This window comes from Homo sapiens, chromosome 2, assembly GCF_000001405.40.
Source record: "Homo sapiens chromosome 2, GRCh38.p14 Primary Assembly".
Classification (NCBI taxonomy): Eukaryota; Metazoa; Chordata; class Mammalia; order Primates; family Hominidae; genus Homo; species Homo sapiens.
The window spans coordinates 86,064,447-86,083,051 of record NC_000002.12 but is presented as its reverse complement, the minus strand read 5'-3'; the positions used below and the strand labels follow the sequence as shown (position 1 = coordinate 86,083,051).

The window sequence follows — 18,605 nt, the reverse complement described above, 5'->3', positions numbered from 1 at the left end:
ATCTTCTCTAGGCTTTTATTTCCTGGACTCATTAACCCTGCCTTATTACTTCTTTTAAGTTGTAGTGATTGTAGCTTCCTCCTGGAACTGATCCAGAGGTTTGGGGCAGTCTTCAGGGCACATTGACATTGAGTCATAGAGCAGGAGAGGTCATACCCAGCACCAAAAACTTGACAATTATCGCAGCTGAGCCTGGTTATGAAATGACAACTGCAGGTGGGCCTCACTTAATACAGGTTGGCATATTTTTAGAAGGTTCAGTGTAACTTATTTTAAATGCCCGTAAGTAAAATGCTTTGTCCTTCTGTGAATCAAAGAATGAACTCTGTCTTATTTAAATTGGGACTTTACTATAAGGGAAATCCTTCTTTCCTTTTGAGTGTATAACAAAACCTACGCAGTATATTCAAGCCCTTGTGAGAGTATGTTGTGGAACGCTGACTATAACCTCTGTGTAATAAGCGCTTACAAATGAACATGTTGTTAAAGAGGTATCAGAAAAAAAAAAAAGCACTGGAGTTAGTATGATTGCTTCTGTGGCAGGCCCTAGTACATTTTAATCTTTTTCTCTAGGCATTTTTTAAAGTAACCAGAAACCTGAAATAAAGCTTTGATCCACAGAAGATCCTTTCTTGGCAGTAACTGTTAGGGGTGGGAGGAGGCTAACTTAAAAAAAAATTTTTTTATTCAACATATTTTTTATGAAGATCAAAGTAATGATGTGTGTGCTGTCTGTGTTTTAATAGTCCAGGAGGGTGATTAAAAACAAGTGAAGTTTCTTCCCCATCCTTGCCCATCTCAGTCCCTGGTTTAAGAGCTATTGTCCCTGTAGTACCCATTTTTATGCTATCATATCCCCTGCATACAAACTGTCATGTACACAGGGGCTATTTTTTGTTTTTATAAAGAAAAATGAGGCCAGGCACGTTGGCTCATGCCTCCAATCACAGCAATATGGGAGGCTGAGGCAGGTGGATCAATTGAGCCCAGGAGTTCGAGACCAGCCTGGGCAACCAAGCAAAACCTCATCTCTTAAAAAAAAAAATACAAAAATTAGCTGGACATGATAGCACGCACCTGTAGTCCCAACTACTTGGAAGGCTGAGGTGGCAGGATTGCCTAAGCCTGGGAGATCAAGGCTGCAGTGAGTCATGATCGCACCACTGCACAGCAGCCTGGGCGACAGGAGTGAGACCTTTTCTCAAAAAAGAAAACTGTGACCTTAACTCTACATATTATCTTGTATTCTGTTTTTTCCTCACTCAGTAATATTTTTATGGTTGTCCTCCCATGCCCTTAGTGATAGATTTAAATGGTCTTCTTGGTTTATTTCTTTCCAACGCAGGATTCTTTCTGAACTACCTTTTTTCGGGAATGGATGATGATGGTATGGAATCCAGATTCAATCCCAGTGTGTTCTTTCTAGATTTCTTGGTGGTGCCGCCCTCAAGGTAATACCCTTTAATTAACTTATTTCACCTGAAAAAAAGCGTACTAAGGAACTGAAATGTGACCTCTAGGAGAGGTGAAAGGGCCAAGGGCACTGAGAGACAAAGCTGCAGTTCCGCTCCAGGTGCAGGTGGTGGGAGGGCTTGCTTTCCTTCCCGTTTGTTGTGAACGCAATAGGAATGTTGGTTGTTTTTGTTTGTTTGTTTTGAAGTGGAGTCTTGCACTGTCTCCCAGGCTGGAGTGCAGTGGCATGACCTTGACTTACTGCAACCTCTGCCTCCTGGGTTCAAGTGATTCTCCTACCTCAGCCTCCTGAGTAGCTGGGATTACAGGCACGCACCACCACACCCAAATAATTTTTGTATTTTACATAGAGATGGGGTTTCACCATGTTGGCCAGGCTGGTCTCGAACTCCTGACCTCCAGTGATCCACCTGCCATGGCTTCCCAAAGTACTGGGATTACAGGCTTAAGCCACCACACCCAGCCGGAATGTTGGTTAGGAAGGTTGGTTGTTTTGAGCATGGTGGGGTGTGCTCCCTACAGTAGGCATGGGTGAGAGGCTGAAGAACATGACCCTTTCCTCACACTAAACATTCATTTATTCCGTATGTCCCCCTGCAGGTATCGCCCAGTCAGTCGCCTAGGAGACCAGATGTTTACTAATGGCCAGACGGTGAACTTGCAGGCTGTCATGAAGGATGTAGTTCTGATTCGAAAACTTCTGGCATTGATGGCCCAAGAACAGAAGTTGCCAGAGGAAGTGGCCACACCCACTACAGATGAGGTCAGGGCTGCTCTGTTGCTGATGTGATGAGCACACATGCTTAGTGCTAACTCTGTGAGCTGTGGATGTAGACACTGGGTCTGGGAGATGCTTCCTGGGATGTTCTGTGCAGCTGGCAGCAGCCTTAGTGTGAGCTCTGGGCTTAGGGGGCACCTAGGAACATTAGGGGGACACACATGGGTCTGAGCATGGAAAGGTGTGGGTTCTGGTCTAGCTTCTACACCGAACGACCATGCCAGGTGACCCTAGTTGAGTCACTTCCTTATACTAGTGTCTGCTATAAAGTGCATGTGATTTGTGGTGAGATTTCACACCTAGGCTGTTCCGGGCTACCAGCTCTCGCAGCTCTAGAAAGAATAGCCTACTTCCCTCAGGCTTTAAGAGTGTCCCTTTTGGGTCACAGTACTAGAGCTCATGTTGCCAGCTCTATTTTGGACACGTTAATGTCTCCAGCATTGGGGTCAGGAAGGCAGTATTGCAGAGTGGAAATTCCTCTCAGAATAGGACAGTTTCAACTAACATTTCCTGAGCCCCATCTGTGTGCCGGGTTAATTAGTAGGTGTTCAGTGGGTACAAAGGTGAATTGGGCACCCAGGAAGCTTGCTGAGGTCATCAAGATCCTTCCCAGCTCTAAAGTACTCTCTGGATGCAAATAGGCAGCCTTGGGTAGACAGTCCGGGTTCTCAGACTCCAGCCGCTGCGACAGTCCCGCTGTCTGCCAGGCCCATCACAAGGTGGCGCCACTGTCTCTTGGACACTTATGGTGCAGGTTACACTTGGGGCTTTCTGTGGTTTTGCTTGTTTCCTGATCGGCCCGCATTGGTGTGCTTTTAAAAACTCCTTAGTGTAAAAGACATCAGCCATGTGCATGCCTTAGTGCAGTTTCCAAGAAAAGACCATGGGATAACTGTACCCAGTGACCAGGGTTGATGTCCCTTAAAAATCGGGCAGCCTGGCCAGGCATGATAGCTCAAGCCTGTAATCCCAGCACTTTGGGAGGCTGAGGCAGGAGGTTCACTTGAGCCCAGGAGTTTTAGACCAGGTGGGCAACATGGCGAAACCCTGTCTCTACCAAAAATACAAAAAATAGCTGGGCATGGTGGTTCATGCCTATGGTGCCAGCTACTCAGGGGGCTGAGGTGGGAGGATCACTGGAGCCAGGGAAGTCGAGGCTGCAGAGAGCTGTGATCGCACCACTGCCCTCCAGCCTGGGTAACAGAGTTAGACCCCATCTCAATAATTAAAAAAAAAAGAAAAATTGGTCGTCCCCTTTGTCAAACAAATGCTTCGCCTCTGAGGGGCAAATAGCATCCTCTGATTCCTATGTCCCACTGCCCTCTTTCCTTGTGATTGACAGGATGTGTTTTTTCTCCCCCCTTACTCTCTGTGTTCCATCCTCATGGCAGCCCTTGCCAGTCACCGTCTAGGCATTGGGGATACTCCAGTGAGACAAGTTCTCACTCATTTCACAATCACTGGTCTTGAGCCAGGTAATGCCATGAGCAGTGAGTTGGGCTAACAGGGCCCGGTCATCATGCAGGTGATCGTATCTCCCTCTGGGACTCCAGCCAGAAGGGGACCCTGAGTGTTTTATGTAGAATACATCTATTTTCCCTAGAGCTAAAGAAGATTCCTGTGTTCCTCAGGTTTGATGACAAGCCCACTTCATCACTACTGGGTTTTCATAACATTCTCGTTTACTGAATCTTCACCCACCCTCACCCTCCCACCTCAAGACACTGACAGGTTTCTTCTCTTATCTGCCCACACTGGAAGACGTGGGACCATCTGTCTCCTTGTGTCATACCCAGTCGATTGGGCCAGTAGGTGGCCAGACAGTATCAATAGGTGGTGCTCTAAGCCAGCTGAAGGCTTCTGTGTATTTCTGTCCCCTGGGTAGGGAGTGGGAGAGAGGAGGAGACAGGGCTAGGGGCAAAAATATTAAAAAAGGATTGGTTAAATATTCCAATGAGACTTGGCAATCAGCCACTAACTTGATATAGCTCAGCTGGAGACCCACATCTTAGTTGATGACATAGAATATCGTATGGCAAACCTAGTTCCTTTTAAGAAATTGTTCCACCTGCATGTTTGTAATTGGTTTGGATCAAGTTTTTCAAAGCCATAAATAAAACTGAAACTGCATGTGAGAATTGGTTATCTGGCAAGATAACAGAACTTCATAAGAAATGTACTGATGTGGGAAGGACTTCTTAGTTTTCTTTAGGAATTGCATATTAAGGGATTTCAGCAAAAATGCCTTAAGAAAGAAGCATGCTTATAAATTTTGAGTTCATCTTACTACTAGAAAGAGACAGGCTGGTAAATATATAATAGTGCTGATATGTCTTATTGACATGTACTTACAAGATTGATTTATTAGCATGTTTGTCTCTGATCTGTCAGGTTCAGAGGAGATAAACTCCAGAGTGCATAGTTGTCAGATCCAGGGTAAGAAAGAAAAATTAAATCAAGCCAGGCCTTTTGGAGCTTTTTTCCATCATCCCTGTTTTCTTGGTTTCATCTTCCAGGAAAAAGACTCTTTGATTGCTATTGACCGATCCTTTTTGAGTACACTTCCAGGCCAGTCCCTCATAGACAAACTTTACAACATTTGGATTCGCCTTCAGAGCCACGTCAATATTGTGTTTGATAGCGAGATGGACAAACTAATGATGGACAAGTACCCAGGCATTAGGCAGGTGAGCAAAAAACTGGATTCCCATTGCTAGCTACAGAAGATAAATAATAAACATTGTGTATTGAAACAAGAAACTAATAAGCCTACTGGAATTCTTGTTGAATGTTTTTTATGACCTTTTTTCTCCATAAAGATCCTGGAGAAGAAAGAAGGCCTGTTCCGAAAACACATGATGGGAAAGCGAGTGGACTACGCTGCGCGCTCAGTCATCTGCCCAGACATGTACATCAACACCAACGAAATTGGAATTCCCATGGTGTGTGTGTGTGTGTGTGTGTGTGTGTGTGTGTGTGTGTGTGTGTGCGCGCGCGCGTGCAGGGCTCATTTGCTCCCCGTGGGTGGCAGATGAGAATGCCGCAGAGGACTGGGGACAGGATGTGCAGCAGATTATTCTGGCTTGGGCGGAACTAGCTTCTGCCTCTTCCTGGACAGCCCACAAGGAGGTGACTGGAAGCTGCATGATGGCATTGCTGTCACTCCTTGCTAGGCTTACAGACACCTCCTACCAACAAGTCAGCACCAGGGAGCTGACTGCAGGGTGTTCCACATCCCCGCCGGCATAGCTTCCTCCTGCCCACTTCAGCCTAGTCTTTTGACCTTCCTCACCAAATTGAATACATGACAGGGGAGAGGAAGAGGGCATGGGGCATATCAGTTATCAGTCCTGTGTACTTTCCAGGCATCAGAAATGTGTACCCCAGGTTACTGGGAAGAGGAAAGGGAGTGAGTCCCGGAGAGAGGCGTGTGCATGTTGCCCAGGTCCTGTTTCGCTTCTCAGGGTCAGCAGCTTGCTGTTCACCTGTTAGTGCTCTCCCCCCGACCCCCTCCGGGAGCTAGCTTCGTCTTCTCACATCCTTAGCACTTCATGCTGTGGTGCTCAGCAGCAGCAGCCTTTAATCGGCTTCCTCCTTAATGGGCCGGCCTCTATGTCAGTAATGTGAAGGTGGTTTAATTTCCCTCCGTGGAGAGCCTCATTTCCTTGCACGCCACCCCCTCCACCCCTCTCTGGGGACTGGTGATGAGCAGCGCTGAAGTGTTCTTTCTGATCATCCTGTGTCCCCATGGCCTCATCTCTTTGTGGCACACTTGGGTTTCCTGGACAAAGGCGTGATGTGTCAGGAGACAGCAGTCTGAGAAGGCCCAGTCCTGTACCCACTGCCTCTTGGGAACCATAGTCCTTGCATTCAAAGGCTGGATCATGTGGTGAGGACCAGCTTTGCAAAGTCCAGTGGTGACATTCCCAAATCTGAGGTCCCGAGGAGACATGTAGCAACTTTTGGTTGCCCTCTCTGGACAGGGCAGGGGCCACCCTTGTTGGCCTTGACTTCATAGTGCCTACAGTGTCCCCAGCTCTGTGAGAGACCTTTTGTGCTGCCTTTTCTATCTTCTAGGTGCTGGGTTCTCTTTCTTAGATCTGGGTTTGTTTGGTAGTGGCTTGTCCCTGGAGGAGAGACCCCGAAGTCACTTCTCTGCCCACCTGCAGACTGCTGCAAGTCTCAGGGCCATGGTGGCCTGGGGCGTAGGTATTCCTCACAGGATAGCTGGGAAGATTAGAGTGGATAGAACTGCCTCTGGCCCCTTGGATCACACACTTCCCATAGAGCACTGTTGACAGGTGCCACAGGAGCAAGGAGCTGGAGACCAGCAGTGAAGCACAGACTAATGTGCTCCCATATAAAGCAGTGTCCAGGGGTGGAGACAGACAGTAAATAGATAGACAAGTATATGTATGCTCTGTTGAACGGTGATGGGTGGTAAGTGCATCAGCAACAGTAGAGCAGGCTCAGGCTGAGGAACGCAGAGGCTGGGGTAGCCCCAGGAGCCTTCTGAGAAAGTGTTGCTGCGCGGGACCTGTACAAAGCTAGACAAGTTCCTTTATGTAGGACATCTCAGAGCCTCTGGTGTATTTGTGTACATTTGGAAGCATTAGAGGTTTATAATATTCAGTAGCTCAAAAACTCATTTAACAGGGAACTTGTTTTACTTGGAGCGTATCCCAGGCCCAGCTTTAAACACAGCACACTGCATTTTCTTAGGTATCAGAGGAATGCGTCAGTTTCATCTCAAGTACCACCTTGATTGTAATGGCTGCCAGAACTGTGGAGTTGAGATATTCCGATGCCATGTCTGGGCTCAGGGACAGCACCATGATGCATTAGTGATGTCTGCCAGGGTAGATGAGGGATGTCAGGGTATTTGAGGACAGGCATTTGCCACCTGTCTCAAGGAAGTGCCCCATGCCACCTTTGGGAACTTTGAATTTATTGGCAGATAAGAAAATGAAGTTTTAGACTGGGTGAAAAAATTGGCTGGGCGCGGTGGCTCACGCCTGTAATCCCAGCACTTTGGGAGGCCGAGGCGGGCAGATCAGCTGAGGTTGGGAGTTTGCTACCAGCCTGACCAGCATGGAGAAACCCTGTCTCTACTAAAAATACAAAATTAGCCAGGTGTGGTAGTGTGTGCCTGTAATCCCAGTTACTCGGGAGGCTGAGGCAGGAGAATTGCTTGAACCCAGGAGGCGGAGATTGTGGTGAGCCGAGATCGCGCCATTGCACTCCAGCCTGGGCAACAAGAGCGAAACTCCATCTCAAAGAAAAAAAAATTATATAAACTGCTGCGCTTAAATTATTCTCCTCAGACTAACTGGTAGAAAAGGAGGCCTAGTCTCTATACCATTAAGGGAGTAGCAGAAGACAGGCAGGATGTTACTTTGCTCACTGGAAGACCTTCTTGGCCAAGTCAAACAGCTCCTCCACATCTTGGGTGAAAAGACAGCCTGTTGAGACAGATTTGGGGTCCATCAGACCTTTTTTTATCCCTGCCCTGAATTTCTACCTCCATTCCTCATTTCCAGGTGTTTGCCACAAAACTGACCTACCCACAGCCAGTTACCCCATGGAATGTTCAGGAACTTAGGCAAGCGGTCATCAACGGCCCTAATGTGCACCCAGGAGCCTCCATGGTCATCAATGAGGACGGCAGCCGCACAGCCCTGAGCGCTGTGGACATGACCCAGCGAGAGGCCGTGGCCAAGCAGCTTCTGACCCCAGCCACGGGGGCACCTAAGCCCCAGGGGACAAAAATTGTGAGTAAGGGCAGCTTTGGTCAGGGACCCATCCGGCTCCTGTTCGGATTCTGGTGATTGGTGGCCATCAGGTGTGGCTCCGGTGCGCACTGACACAGGAGCCCATCCCTAGGAGGAAGCTCCCCGACACGTGGGTGGCTTTTTAGATTCACCTTGTAGTCTCCGGGCAGAAGAATGGCTGCCCTTAAACAGGACTACTCAAAGGGCAGTCCCCAGACCAGCATCAGCAGCAGCCCTGGAGCTTGTGAGCAATGCACATCCCCCCACCTCTACTGAATTTGAATCTCTGAGAATAGAGTTCAGAATCTTTCTTTACCGTGCTTTCCAGGGGGTTCTTCTGCATGCTGATGTTTGAGAGCCACTCTTAGGAAGGGAGTGCTCTGTGCCAGTGATAACCAACAAATAACAGGTTATAACTAATGTTTCCATTTTGGGCAATTGCTAATGCTAGCCCATAGTGCTGTGGTAGGGAATCCTGAGGCTCTATCAGGTTCCACTGGAAGGAGCACATGATCGATTAACAATGTTGCTGAGTGCATGAAATCAGCAGGTGACAGCTCTGTGGCTCTGTCACATAATAGCCATTCCTGCTGGGAGGGGAGTAGCAGATGACCCCTAACTAGGCAACAGTGGCAGCAGTTGTTGGAGGGAAATGGATTCGACTTGGATGTAACCCACAAGTGACTACCGGAGTCAATAGGTGACTGCCTGGATTTTCCTCACCCACCTGCACAGAGGGCCTCTCCTTGCCCTCTGCCCACCCATACCCATGGCTGACCTGCCCTTCTTTAACACTGAGTTCACCTCTGCAAAGTTGCATCAGCCTTGAAGGAACTTTGGAGGAACCGAGAGGAAAAGGAAATGCTCCTGGCCTTGCGGCGGTGCCCATCACTGCTCATCACAGGCCTTCTTGCTTCCTCTCGTTCTCACCGCCGTCCTGAGGGGCAGCAGTAATACACTGCCTGTATTACTGTATTCTCCTTTGGTGACAGGGCACATGCAAACATAGATCAAGTCACCTCTTTTGTTCTTCTCTAGTGCACGAAGTAAGGTTTGTATTCAGGTTCGTAGAATCGGTCTGCCTTTCCTAAGTGCCTGGTGTTTCGCTAGGCACTGTGTGAGCAATGCAAAAAGAAGCAAGGTGTGTTTCACTTCACTTACATTTAACTCAGGTCAAACATGTGAAACAGACTCACAATAGGAAAGGATGAGAAAGAGACTAGGAGAAGGGGTGAGGGATGAGGCAGTACTGATGCCCCCTGCATGCTAGCACTTTGCAGTCCCTGCAGACGGATCCTCGCCACCCTGGAGTTGACAGCATGGTGGGGGAACCACTAGGAAGTAAGCATATAAATGTATTGCTGTTGCGGAGGGGTGTGGTAGACACCATAGGGAACAGCAGTGACAGACAGTGACTTTAAGCACATAATGTCCAAGAAGAAACAAGTTTGAGGGGAATGTGCAGGGCAAGTGGGCAGGGAGAGTTTGGGGTCATCAGGAGGCAACTGTGAGCCAGGTGCTGGGGCCAGCCTCAGGGCTAAAGAGGGGACTGAAGGCAGCGAATTCTTGCTGCTCTCTCAGGCCTTAGCAAGCCCTCATTCCTCTGGGGTCAGATAGTAAATATTTCTGTGGTCCTGGGCCATGCAGGCTCTGCTGTAGCTGCTCAGCTCTGCCACCTAATACCAAAGCAGCCACAGGTAGTACACAAACAAATAGGCATGGCTGTGTTCCAATCAAACTTTATTTACAGAAGCAGGTGGCCAGCCTGAGGACTGTAGTCTGCTACCCACCAAAACCTGTCATTTTTTTTTTTTTTATTTTATTTTTTTTTGAGACAAGGTCTCGCTCTGTCTCCCAGGCTAAAGTGCAGTGGTATAATCACAGCTTGCTTCAGCCTCCACCTCCTGGGCTCAGGTGATCCTTCTGACTCAGCCTCCCGAGTAGCTGGGACCACAGGTGTGGCTAGTTTGTGTATTTTCTGTAGACATGGGGTTTCACCATGTTGCCAAGGATGGTTTCCAACTCCTAGGCCCAAGAGATCTGCCCTCCTCAGCCTCCCGAAGTTCTGGGATTACAGGCATGAGCCACTGCTCCTGGCCTGTAATTTTTGAAGACTTTGGTTAATGTGTTGCATATGGGTCAGGGCAAGGCTGAAGGGGCTGTGTGAGGTTGATGGGAAGGAAACACTGAGGTCTCGTCCGGGGAGGAACCACAGGCTAGGTGAGGAGGGGAAAGGCCAAAAGGACCCATTTCCTCTATGAAGTATGAAAGCTCTGCCCCATCCCCTGGGCCTTGTAAATAAAAGAGGAAATGGCCCGGAGAGCCAAGGCTCATTGCCCTGCTCAGCAGCCTGCCAGAAGCAGGCCTTTGGCTCCGAGCCTGCCTCTGAAAATTCTGACCCTGGGGCACTGGGGCACGCTAATTTTCACTGCAGTATTTATTTAGAGACAAGAGAAAGGAAGGGCCTTGGGTTTGGGTTGGCAAGGGGAATACCCTGTGCTCCAGGGCTTCTGTTTGGATTGGCCGGTGCCTACCAGACTGGCCTGTGTACCTTCCCAGCTGTGGCGAGTTTGCTTACGCTGGAGGATGTCTCAAATTTGCAAGACTCAAATCCTAGGCCCAGCCTGGCTTATTGGGCTTGGGCCACAGGTCTAGGCAGTTTCTCCCTTGAGAGGCTAAAGCAAGAAGACCTCAGCTTGTATGACGCAGTCAGACAGCAGCCAGTGCCCTGGGCAGATGCTCATGGGAACCCTCAGAGTTTAGGTCTCCTTGGAAACATGGGACTTGGCAATGGGGAGGGGAAGGTTTGAATTCCTTCGGGAGCAAAAAGACGGACTCCATGCTAGGTACTTTTAAGATTGCTTTGTAGCACTTGAGGGTTTTGCTCCCTGCTTCTCTGAGCTAGAGAGAGAAAACTTTTAACCTCACTGAACAGGAATCGGGGAGAGAGTTTTGGGGAGTATCTCTTAATTACTTCTAGCCTCTCTCTTTAATGAACTTTCTAATGCAGTTTCATAAATGTGGGCAACATAAGAAGAAACTAGACTTCCAATAATTTGTTGTTTTCTCCTGCCTGCTATCTGTTGTGATTTAGAGGAGATTTGGGGTGGCAGAGATTTCACCAAGTCTTCATAATTCCTTTGTACTACTTAGAGGAGCCCTTCAGGATGCATGGGGTGGCAGTTACCTTCATACATTTGTCTTTTAAGGTGTCACTTTATGTTCAGTGTTTAGGAGGCCCAGTAGTTAATATAATTAAAGATAAGGGTGGTAAGTGTCTTAATAGGCGGTACAGGAAAGTCAGCTTTGTGAGAGAGATGTCTGTCAGAAGGACATGACCAGCCAGATATTTATAAGGGGGGAAAAGTATGAGCAGTGGTTATCTTAGAGGGGTACAATTACTTGTGATTTTTAAATTCTTATCTTTAAATTGTATTTTCTGTTTTCCCTCTAGCAATGAGCATAGCACTTGTTCAATATTTCTTTCTTTAAAAATAAGTGAAGACCTTTTTTAAAATTTACAGAAGCATCACATACTCATTATAGGAAGAACGATGCTAAGATGTAGGAAAGTAGCTGAGTGTGGTGACTCATGCCTGTAATTCCAGCACTTTGGGAGGCCAAGGCGGGAAGATCGTTTGAGGCTAGAAGGTTGAAGCTGCAGTGAGCCATGATTGTACCACTATACTCCAGCCTGGCAACAGAGAGAGACCCTGTCTCAGAAAAATAGTACAGCCTAGTGAGGATCCAACCACCCCTTTCCCATAGACACACACACACACACACACACACACACACACATGCACACGGAGAGAGAGAGAAGCTGGGTTGGTTTTTAAATTGTTTTTTTTTTTCATCATGTCACATGCCACCTGGGTTTTTTTTTTCTTTGCTGTAATACATTATTGCTATCACTTTAGGCCTTGTATACATTTACCTTATCCTTGTTCATCACTGCATAATATTCCATAGTGTGGATACACTATTGCCCCTTCTATGGGGCAGTCAGGTTATTTCTAGTTTTTGCCGCTGTAAATGCTGCTACACAAACATACATACTCATCTAACCTTGTGTGGGTGCTTTTTTTTTTCTTGAAGAGCCAACAGAAAATGTGTTTTAAGTGTTTTAATTGCTATTTTCAAACTCTGTTCCCAAAAGACTATGACAATTTACAGCTCTTAATTTTTGAAGTGCAATAAAGTGTTCTCTGAGGGCATTGAACTAACTAAGAACCCTTTTCTGGCTCTGCTATATGAAGCTGGGCAAACTTTTTGTGAAATGTAGAATTTCTGTTTAGAATAATGTACTCACATGTGATCACGGCGGGGGGGGGATTCGAAAGTCTGCCAATGCCTTTCAAACCCAGTGGTTTTATGGTTATGTCTTCATTTTGTTATGGTTATATCTTCAGGAGTTGTATCCATTTCTTTCTTTGGATTAGTTTTCAGAGTAATCCAGAAACCTGGGACGGCTATGCATCTCTGAAGAAGACAAAGACCTGTGGTCTTATTTGTTCCTTATACTTCTGAGCCTAGAGCCAGGATCAGGGTTGTAAAGGGCCAGGACCAGAAGGGCCTAGGACGTATTTCTCAGAGATTTCCAGGGTTTTGCTCCAGATGAAAAATTCCCCTTGCATTTAGTTAACTAGAACGTGAGACAAAAGCCACACCTTGGTCAAGCTGAGGTGAGCACTTGGAAAGAGCCGTGGTGATACTGACGTTTGCACTGATCACCCACCTGTCCACTCTGTTCCCAGGTGTGCCGGCATGTGAAGAATGGGGACATTCTGCTACTGAACCGACAGCCCACACTGCACAGACCCTCCATCCAGGCCCACCGTGCCCGCATCCTGCCTGAAGAGAAAGTGCTGCGGCTCCACTATGCCAACTGCAAGGCCTATAATGCCGACTTTGATGGAGACGAGATGAATGCCCATTTCCCCCAGAGTGAGCTGGGCCGGGCCGAGGCCTACGTCCTGGCCTGCACTGATCAGCAGTACCTTGTTCCCAAGGTAGGTCTGGCCTTGAGGCTGTTCCGTGGTCATCGTCAGCATGACTTAGCACTTTTAAGTTGGGCCCTGCCAGCCCCTGGGGTCATTGGGCAGCTCCAGGACAGGGGCGCCTGGAATGGAGGGTCCTGGTTTCTCCCAGGTGGGGCTTTTAGCCCATCTAGTGGCTTAGAGGCTGGGAAATGTTTCTGTTTTGCTGCGTTGTAAAATGTAAATCAGGACAGAAATTGTGATAGCCATCCCAGAAAGCCAACCTTAATAACTGTGTGATAGGTCTTGTGTTCAGCACTTAAATTTGGATTCTGCAACTTAGTAGCCCCCGGCTAGCATTAGCATCCCAACACTGTAATGGTTCTCATGGTCCACTGATGACTTTGATCCTTTGTTCTGACAAACATGAGTTTTAAGAAGCAGCCTAACCCCAAGGGCCCAGAAGAGATCCCGCAGCAGCCCGTGAAGGCATCTTCTGTCCCCTTTGAATCCTTTCCTTCTTTCTCCAAGTTCACTCCTCAAGGGCAACCCCTTGTGGTCACAGCTGTCCAGAGGGACACGAGGGAAGGATAGAACTTCCTCCCCCGTCTCCTTAGCAGCTGACTCTTGGCCAGGAGTGGCAGGGGCCTGAGTTAGCATGTGCTCATGGGAGGGACAGAGCGGGGAAAGAGGCAGGCTGCAGGAAAGAAGACAGAGTGTGTTCCAGTGCCTCCTTCACCCTCACCACCCACCCAAAGGTCTGAGTCCTCCTAAATTATAAGCCATTTGCGCCACAATGATTCATAGTTATACATCATTCATTTGGATTGTGGTGGAGTATGAAGAATAATCGTAACGTCAAACCAAGGCTCCCATTTCCCAAGTACTTTTTCAGTGCCATACACTGTGCAGAGAGCACTTTAGAGGCTCCTCATTTCACCCTCCCCACAGTCCTTGGAGGTAGGTGCTATTCATGTCCACATTTTACACTTGAAGGATTCGTGTAACTTGTCCAAGGACACTCAGCTGAGAAGCAGCAGGAAGGACAAGGAGTTCCTGGATCTTCCTAGGGTTTGTGCTACCACAGAGATGGAGACCTCTGTGCACAGGGAGTGCCAGGGGCTGCTCAGAGATGCCTAGTGTCAATCAGCATCCTCTGCTCCTTGGAGCTTCTCTATTCCCATCAGCCGTCTGCCACGAAGGAATCAGGCAGGTGGCCAGGAGCCCGGCATCCCGGACCCTTTTCCCACCAGATGCACCACTGTGGCTTCACAAGGGTCCCGGTTGTTTGAGTTGGCCTTTCCCTTCTCTGCCCACCTTTGTTGGCTGTGGATTAGCAAAGGGACTAAATGTAGGAAGAAGTGGTGAAGGGCCTACCCAGATTACTTGGAAATTAAAAAAAATACATTTGCTAATTTGAAAAGTGGCTTTTTATGTTTTCATTTAAATAATAATGTGGCTCTGTGGTGGTGGCAGTAAAAGCTGCCATTTATTAAGTGGGTCACAGGCCTTAGGCACTGCTGTAAGCAGTTTGCAGACATTCCCTTCCTTATGAGGTTGGTGTGATTTTCAGACAAGGAAACACCAAGTGAGTAATATGTCAGCCAGCAATGAGGCCAAGACTTGAACCCAGCAGCTTTGGACGACACCCGCCCCCCCCCCCCGCCCATGTGCTTGGCTGTGCGTGTTCTTAGCCCCACTCGACAGCCAAGGCTGGGACTAAGGGAAGGCAGGTGACAGGAAGTGGCTGCCAGAACTGTGTGGGTCTCTGACTCTATAGCAGCCGAGTCATATTTCACCAGAGGGGACACTACCGGGGAGCAGCAGATGGTTTTTTGCTGGCAGAGTGACCTGAGGCATTAGCTATGTGGGGAGTTGAGGTGCTCTGAAGTCCTCAGACCAGTGACCTTGAATGTGCTGTGCTTGATTTTGATTGAATACGGTGCAAAGCCATAGGAGACTTCATGCTTACATTGTGTCCTGCAGTGGGCTGACATATAAATCCAAGTGGACCTCATCACATGCTAATATGCCTATGAGTTTTAGGTTGGGCGTACACTTAAGGGAGGCAGGAGAACACAGGTAAATAAACTTAATGTCAATAAATTAATTTATTGAAAAAAGCTTATGGGAGATGGCTTGAAGATTCACTGTACTTTCATTCACTTTCTTTTGTCGGAGGTAAAGAGCTTTTGATTCTTGATAAATTTTATTTAGTCCTTGGTGTAAATGCCAAGAAGTGGAATCCTTATATTTGCTAATGGTTATAAAAATGCAACATGTCTTTATTGGCAGAGTCCTAAAAGGACAAGAGCTGATTTGGTTAAACTAGGAAAACCAGTATTTTGAGGTAATTTTTCTTAGCATATCTTTATTTCCCTTAGTTTCCATATTTCTTTATTTATAATTCAATTTCTTCTCTATTACCAGGTTATCTTCCTTAAGTAACCATAATACTGAATTAAAGTACATTTTGTCGTTGGTTTTATGTACTTAGTAGAGTTTTGTGGCGTCTTTTTACTTAAAATAGGAGTTGAATGGAACTCATTTCTTTTCCATGAAAACAGTTAAACTTTTCATTTATGTGTTACTTTTTGGACTAATTTTTTTTCCTTCTGTTTATTTATTGAGGGCCCATACTTTGTGGAAAGTTTTTAAGCAAGGCTTCAGATATGTTTCCTGACTTCTACTTAGTCAGCTAGAAAATTCAAGTTACAGGGATACCCTATTCACAAAGCATCCTAACCAGAGACATTAATTGTAATGTCATTTTGCTATTAAGGAGAATAGTAAAGCTGACAATTGTCTGGGGTTTTGATTCAGAGGTGTTCTTTCTGATCCTAAGCAGGAGTTAGGAAATTTAGAATTATAAGTAGACCTTTAGTAATTGCTTTAATCAGCATTCTGCCATAGAATTTGTGATGATTGCATTGAAAATGATTTAGCCATCAAAGTAATTGTCTAGTCATGGAAAAATCTGGACAGAGAGAGGAAAAGGCACTGAATAGATCACAGAACCTGTAATTATGTTCTTTAAGGAAAAAAACAAAAGGAAAAATCAGTATCTGCCCCCCAAAGACTGTGAGATGAGTCAAATGCATAATACTGGTTTGGGTTTTTCCCCCAAGCAAAATAAGACCATCTAGGCAACAAGAGGTAGAGTATAATTTTTTTATGTACATTATTAAGTGAAAGCCTTCATAAGAGGGGCTGTGTGCTCCATCTGATCTTGCCTTAGGTCTGTGCCACCTTTCCAGCCCATCTGTAATCGTTATCTTTGAGTTTACATAGAGCCCATCACTGTAGTGTTTAGACCATTTGACAAGGATCCTTTTTTAGCCTTTGAGTTAGTACATATGGTTAAATTTCTGGTGCTTCTCCCAGACTGCATTTGTGAGTTCCCTTAGCCTTAGTTATAAAACATGACCATACTGTTGGCTAGTATTTAACAAATAATCAAATGATTAATAATCTTTATATCCAAGGCACAGGTTTTTCTCAAATTCCTATAAACATTGAAAAGTTTACAAAATCTACATCTTAAAGAACGTCAGTGAGCATAGCTATTTTTACTTCAGCGTGCGTTATGTTGCCGTGAACACAGACCCGACAGATAAGGTTCAGGAGACTGGGGATCAGAATGGCTGTGAAAGTGTCAAATGAAATTAATGCACTCACCAAATCTCAGGCTTTTCATAAAAGCCTTTCTTTTTGGCATCTGGTAGATAACAGCCTTTATTAAGGGCCCACCATGAACCCTGTGCTGTGTTGTGAAGAGATAACTAATAATGGCTATTCTCCCTTCTGCAGTCATGCACATCAGGCCCACTCACAGCTCTCTTGAGGAACCTGTGCCGGAACCCCTTCCTCCCAACACTGGCCAGCTCACCCCTCAGGCCTCAACTGTGAAACTGCCCTTCGGAGAGGCTATTTCTGACCATCCCCCTCACCTCAAGTCTATATTATGACCCACCCTGTTATTTTCCTCTTTGGCATTTAAAACACTTTGTGATATTGTATTTATCCAATCATTTGTTTACTGTCTAGTTCTTCTTCATCATAAAGGACCATGTCTGTTTGGTCCCCTGGAGTAGGGAAAAGCCTACCCAGTGCCTAGGCATTCAGGAGGCTCCTGATAAATATTTGTTGAGTGCATGACTGATTTACAGAAGAGCCAGGCCAGAAACGTGTGAAAAATACTAAAGCATAAAACCAAAGTATAAAAACAAGAACACAGCTGACAGCAGCCAGACCAAATTTAGGCATAAATGCCAAAAATATGCTGGAGTAACTAGAACCAGATGGGATTAAACAGAGAAGGCCGGGGGAACGGGATGAGTTTGAAGCAGTCTTGATATAGGATAGTGGGCAAATGGCAAACGTAGAAGCCAGTGCTAAACCCTGGTCATGTGCTTTGGGAAGCAGTTGGCTCCCAAGCAAGAACATAGTGAGGATGTGGGCAAGACAAGACAGGGATATAAGAAGGGCTCTTGATAGAAAGTGGCTTCCAGGCAGGCGATTAGGGATTAGAGTTTGACTTAAGATTTATTTTCATTCTTCTTGTGTTGTCTGTTTTGGCTTATAGGATGGCCAACCATTGGCGGGACTGATCCAGGATCACATGGTTTCAGGGGCAAGCATGACTACTCGGGGTTGCTTTTTCACCCGGGAGCACTATATGGAGCTGGTGTACCGAGGACTCACGGACAAAGTGGGGCGCGTGAAGCTCCTTTCTCCTTCCATCCTGAAGCCCTTTCCGCTGTGGACAGGAAAACAGGTAATTGGGAGAGAACAGCCAGTGTATGTAACAAAAGGAAATAGGCCACTCATGTAAAAGGTTTTATTCTCAGAAGAGTCCAGACCAGAGACAGAGAAATGGCTAAGCCAGCAATAGTCTGACTTTCTTTCCCCTTTGTTTGGGGTTCCTGAGTCTGGGTGGCTTCAAGGGAGTGTCTAGCAAGAGTAGACTGCATAGTAGCCTGGTGCAGTGGCTCACACCTGTAATCCCAACACTTTAGGAGACTGAGGCGGGCAGATCACCTGAGGTCTGGAGTTTGAGACCAGCCTGGCTAACATGGTGAAACCCTATCTCTACTAAAAGTACAAAATTAGCTGGGCGTGGGATTAGTGCCTGTAATCTCAGCTACCGGGAGGCTGAGGCAAGAGAATCGCCTCAGCCTGAGGCAAGAGAATCGCTTGAACCCAGGAGGTGGAGGTTGTAGTGAGTCAGGATCAGCCACTGCACTCCTGCCTGGGCAACAGAGTGAGACTCCGTCTCCACAAAAAAAAAAAAAGTAGACTGCATAGTTTCTGTCCTTTGCTTCTAACTTAAATTTGGTGTCCTCATAATACAAATATGGTGGTAATAGGCAGTGGTGCTGGTGGAGTAATAGTAATATTTGTTGGGAAGTTCCATATGTTTGCTGAGTGCTTTAGACACATTATCTGATTTAATACTCACGACTAATCTGCAATGCAGACACCATTATTATCTCCATTTAGGAGATGATAAATTACATGCCCAAGACTACAGGAGACAGATCAAACCCAGGACTTTTCAACCCCAGAAGCATCATACCATACTTCCTCTCAAAGTAACCAAAT

The 18,605-nt window shown here is 46.6% G+C and overlaps 1 protein-coding gene across 1 annotated transcript in view, besides 4 other annotated features; it reads left to right on the top strand.

Moving 5' to 3' along the window:
* Positions 1 to 18,605, top strand: part of POLR1A (RNA polymerase I subunit A) — an 85,671-nt gene that overhangs the window by 22,835 nt on the left and 44,231 nt on the right. Inside the window, exons 8-14 of the mRNA NM_015425.6 lie at positions 1,346 to 1,451; positions 2,074 to 2,236; positions 4,768 to 4,938; positions 5,071 to 5,193; positions 7,792 to 8,022; positions 12,780 to 13,034; positions 17,587 to 17,778. Coding sequence (NP_056240.2) covers positions 1,346 to 1,451; positions 2,074 to 2,236; positions 4,768 to 4,938; positions 5,071 to 5,193; positions 7,792 to 8,022; positions 12,780 to 13,034; positions 17,587 to 17,778 — 1,241 coding nt within the window. The remainder of the gene's footprint in view (positions 1 to 1,345; positions 1,452 to 2,073; positions 2,237 to 4,767; positions 4,939 to 5,070; positions 5,194 to 7,791; positions 8,023 to 12,779; positions 13,035 to 17,586; positions 17,779 to 18,605) is intronic.
* Positions 7,510 to 8,010: an enhancer, noted in NCBI's record as "H3K4me1 hESC enhancer chr2:86302165-86302665 (GRCh37/hg19 assembly coordinates)". NCBI's record gives its function as "activates a minimal SCP1, AML or CMV promoter by ChIP-STARR-seq in naive H9 embryonic stem cells {active_cell/tissue: H9 hESC(naive)}" and the evidence as "EXISTENCE:reporter gene assay evidence [ECO:0000049][PMID:30033119]".
* Positions 8,011 to 8,511: an enhancer, noted in NCBI's record as "H3K4me1 hESC enhancer chr2:86301664-86302164 (GRCh37/hg19 assembly coordinates)". NCBI's record gives its function as "activates a minimal SCP1, AML or CMV promoter by ChIP-STARR-seq in naive H9 embryonic stem cells {active_cell/tissue: H9 hESC(naive)}" and the evidence as "EXISTENCE:reporter gene assay evidence [ECO:0000049][PMID:30033119]".
* Positions 12,381 to 13,580: an enhancer, noted in NCBI's record as "MED14-independent group 3 enhancer chr2:86296595-86297794 (GRCh37/hg19 assembly coordinates)". NCBI's record gives its function as "activates an origin of replication core promoter dependent on BRD2, BRD4, P300/CBP and CDK7 cofactors, and independent of MED14, by STARR-seq in HCT116 cells {active_cell/tissue: HCT116}" and the evidence as "EXISTENCE:reporter gene assay evidence [ECO:0000049][PMID:35650434]".
* Positions 16,499 to 16,699: a silencer, noted in NCBI's record as "peak3776 fragment used in MPRA reporter construct". NCBI's record gives its function as "represses an SCP1 promoter by STARR-seq MPRAs in K562 erythroleukemia cells {active_cell/tissue: K562}" and the evidence as "EXISTENCE:reporter gene assay evidence [ECO:0000049][PMID:32103011]".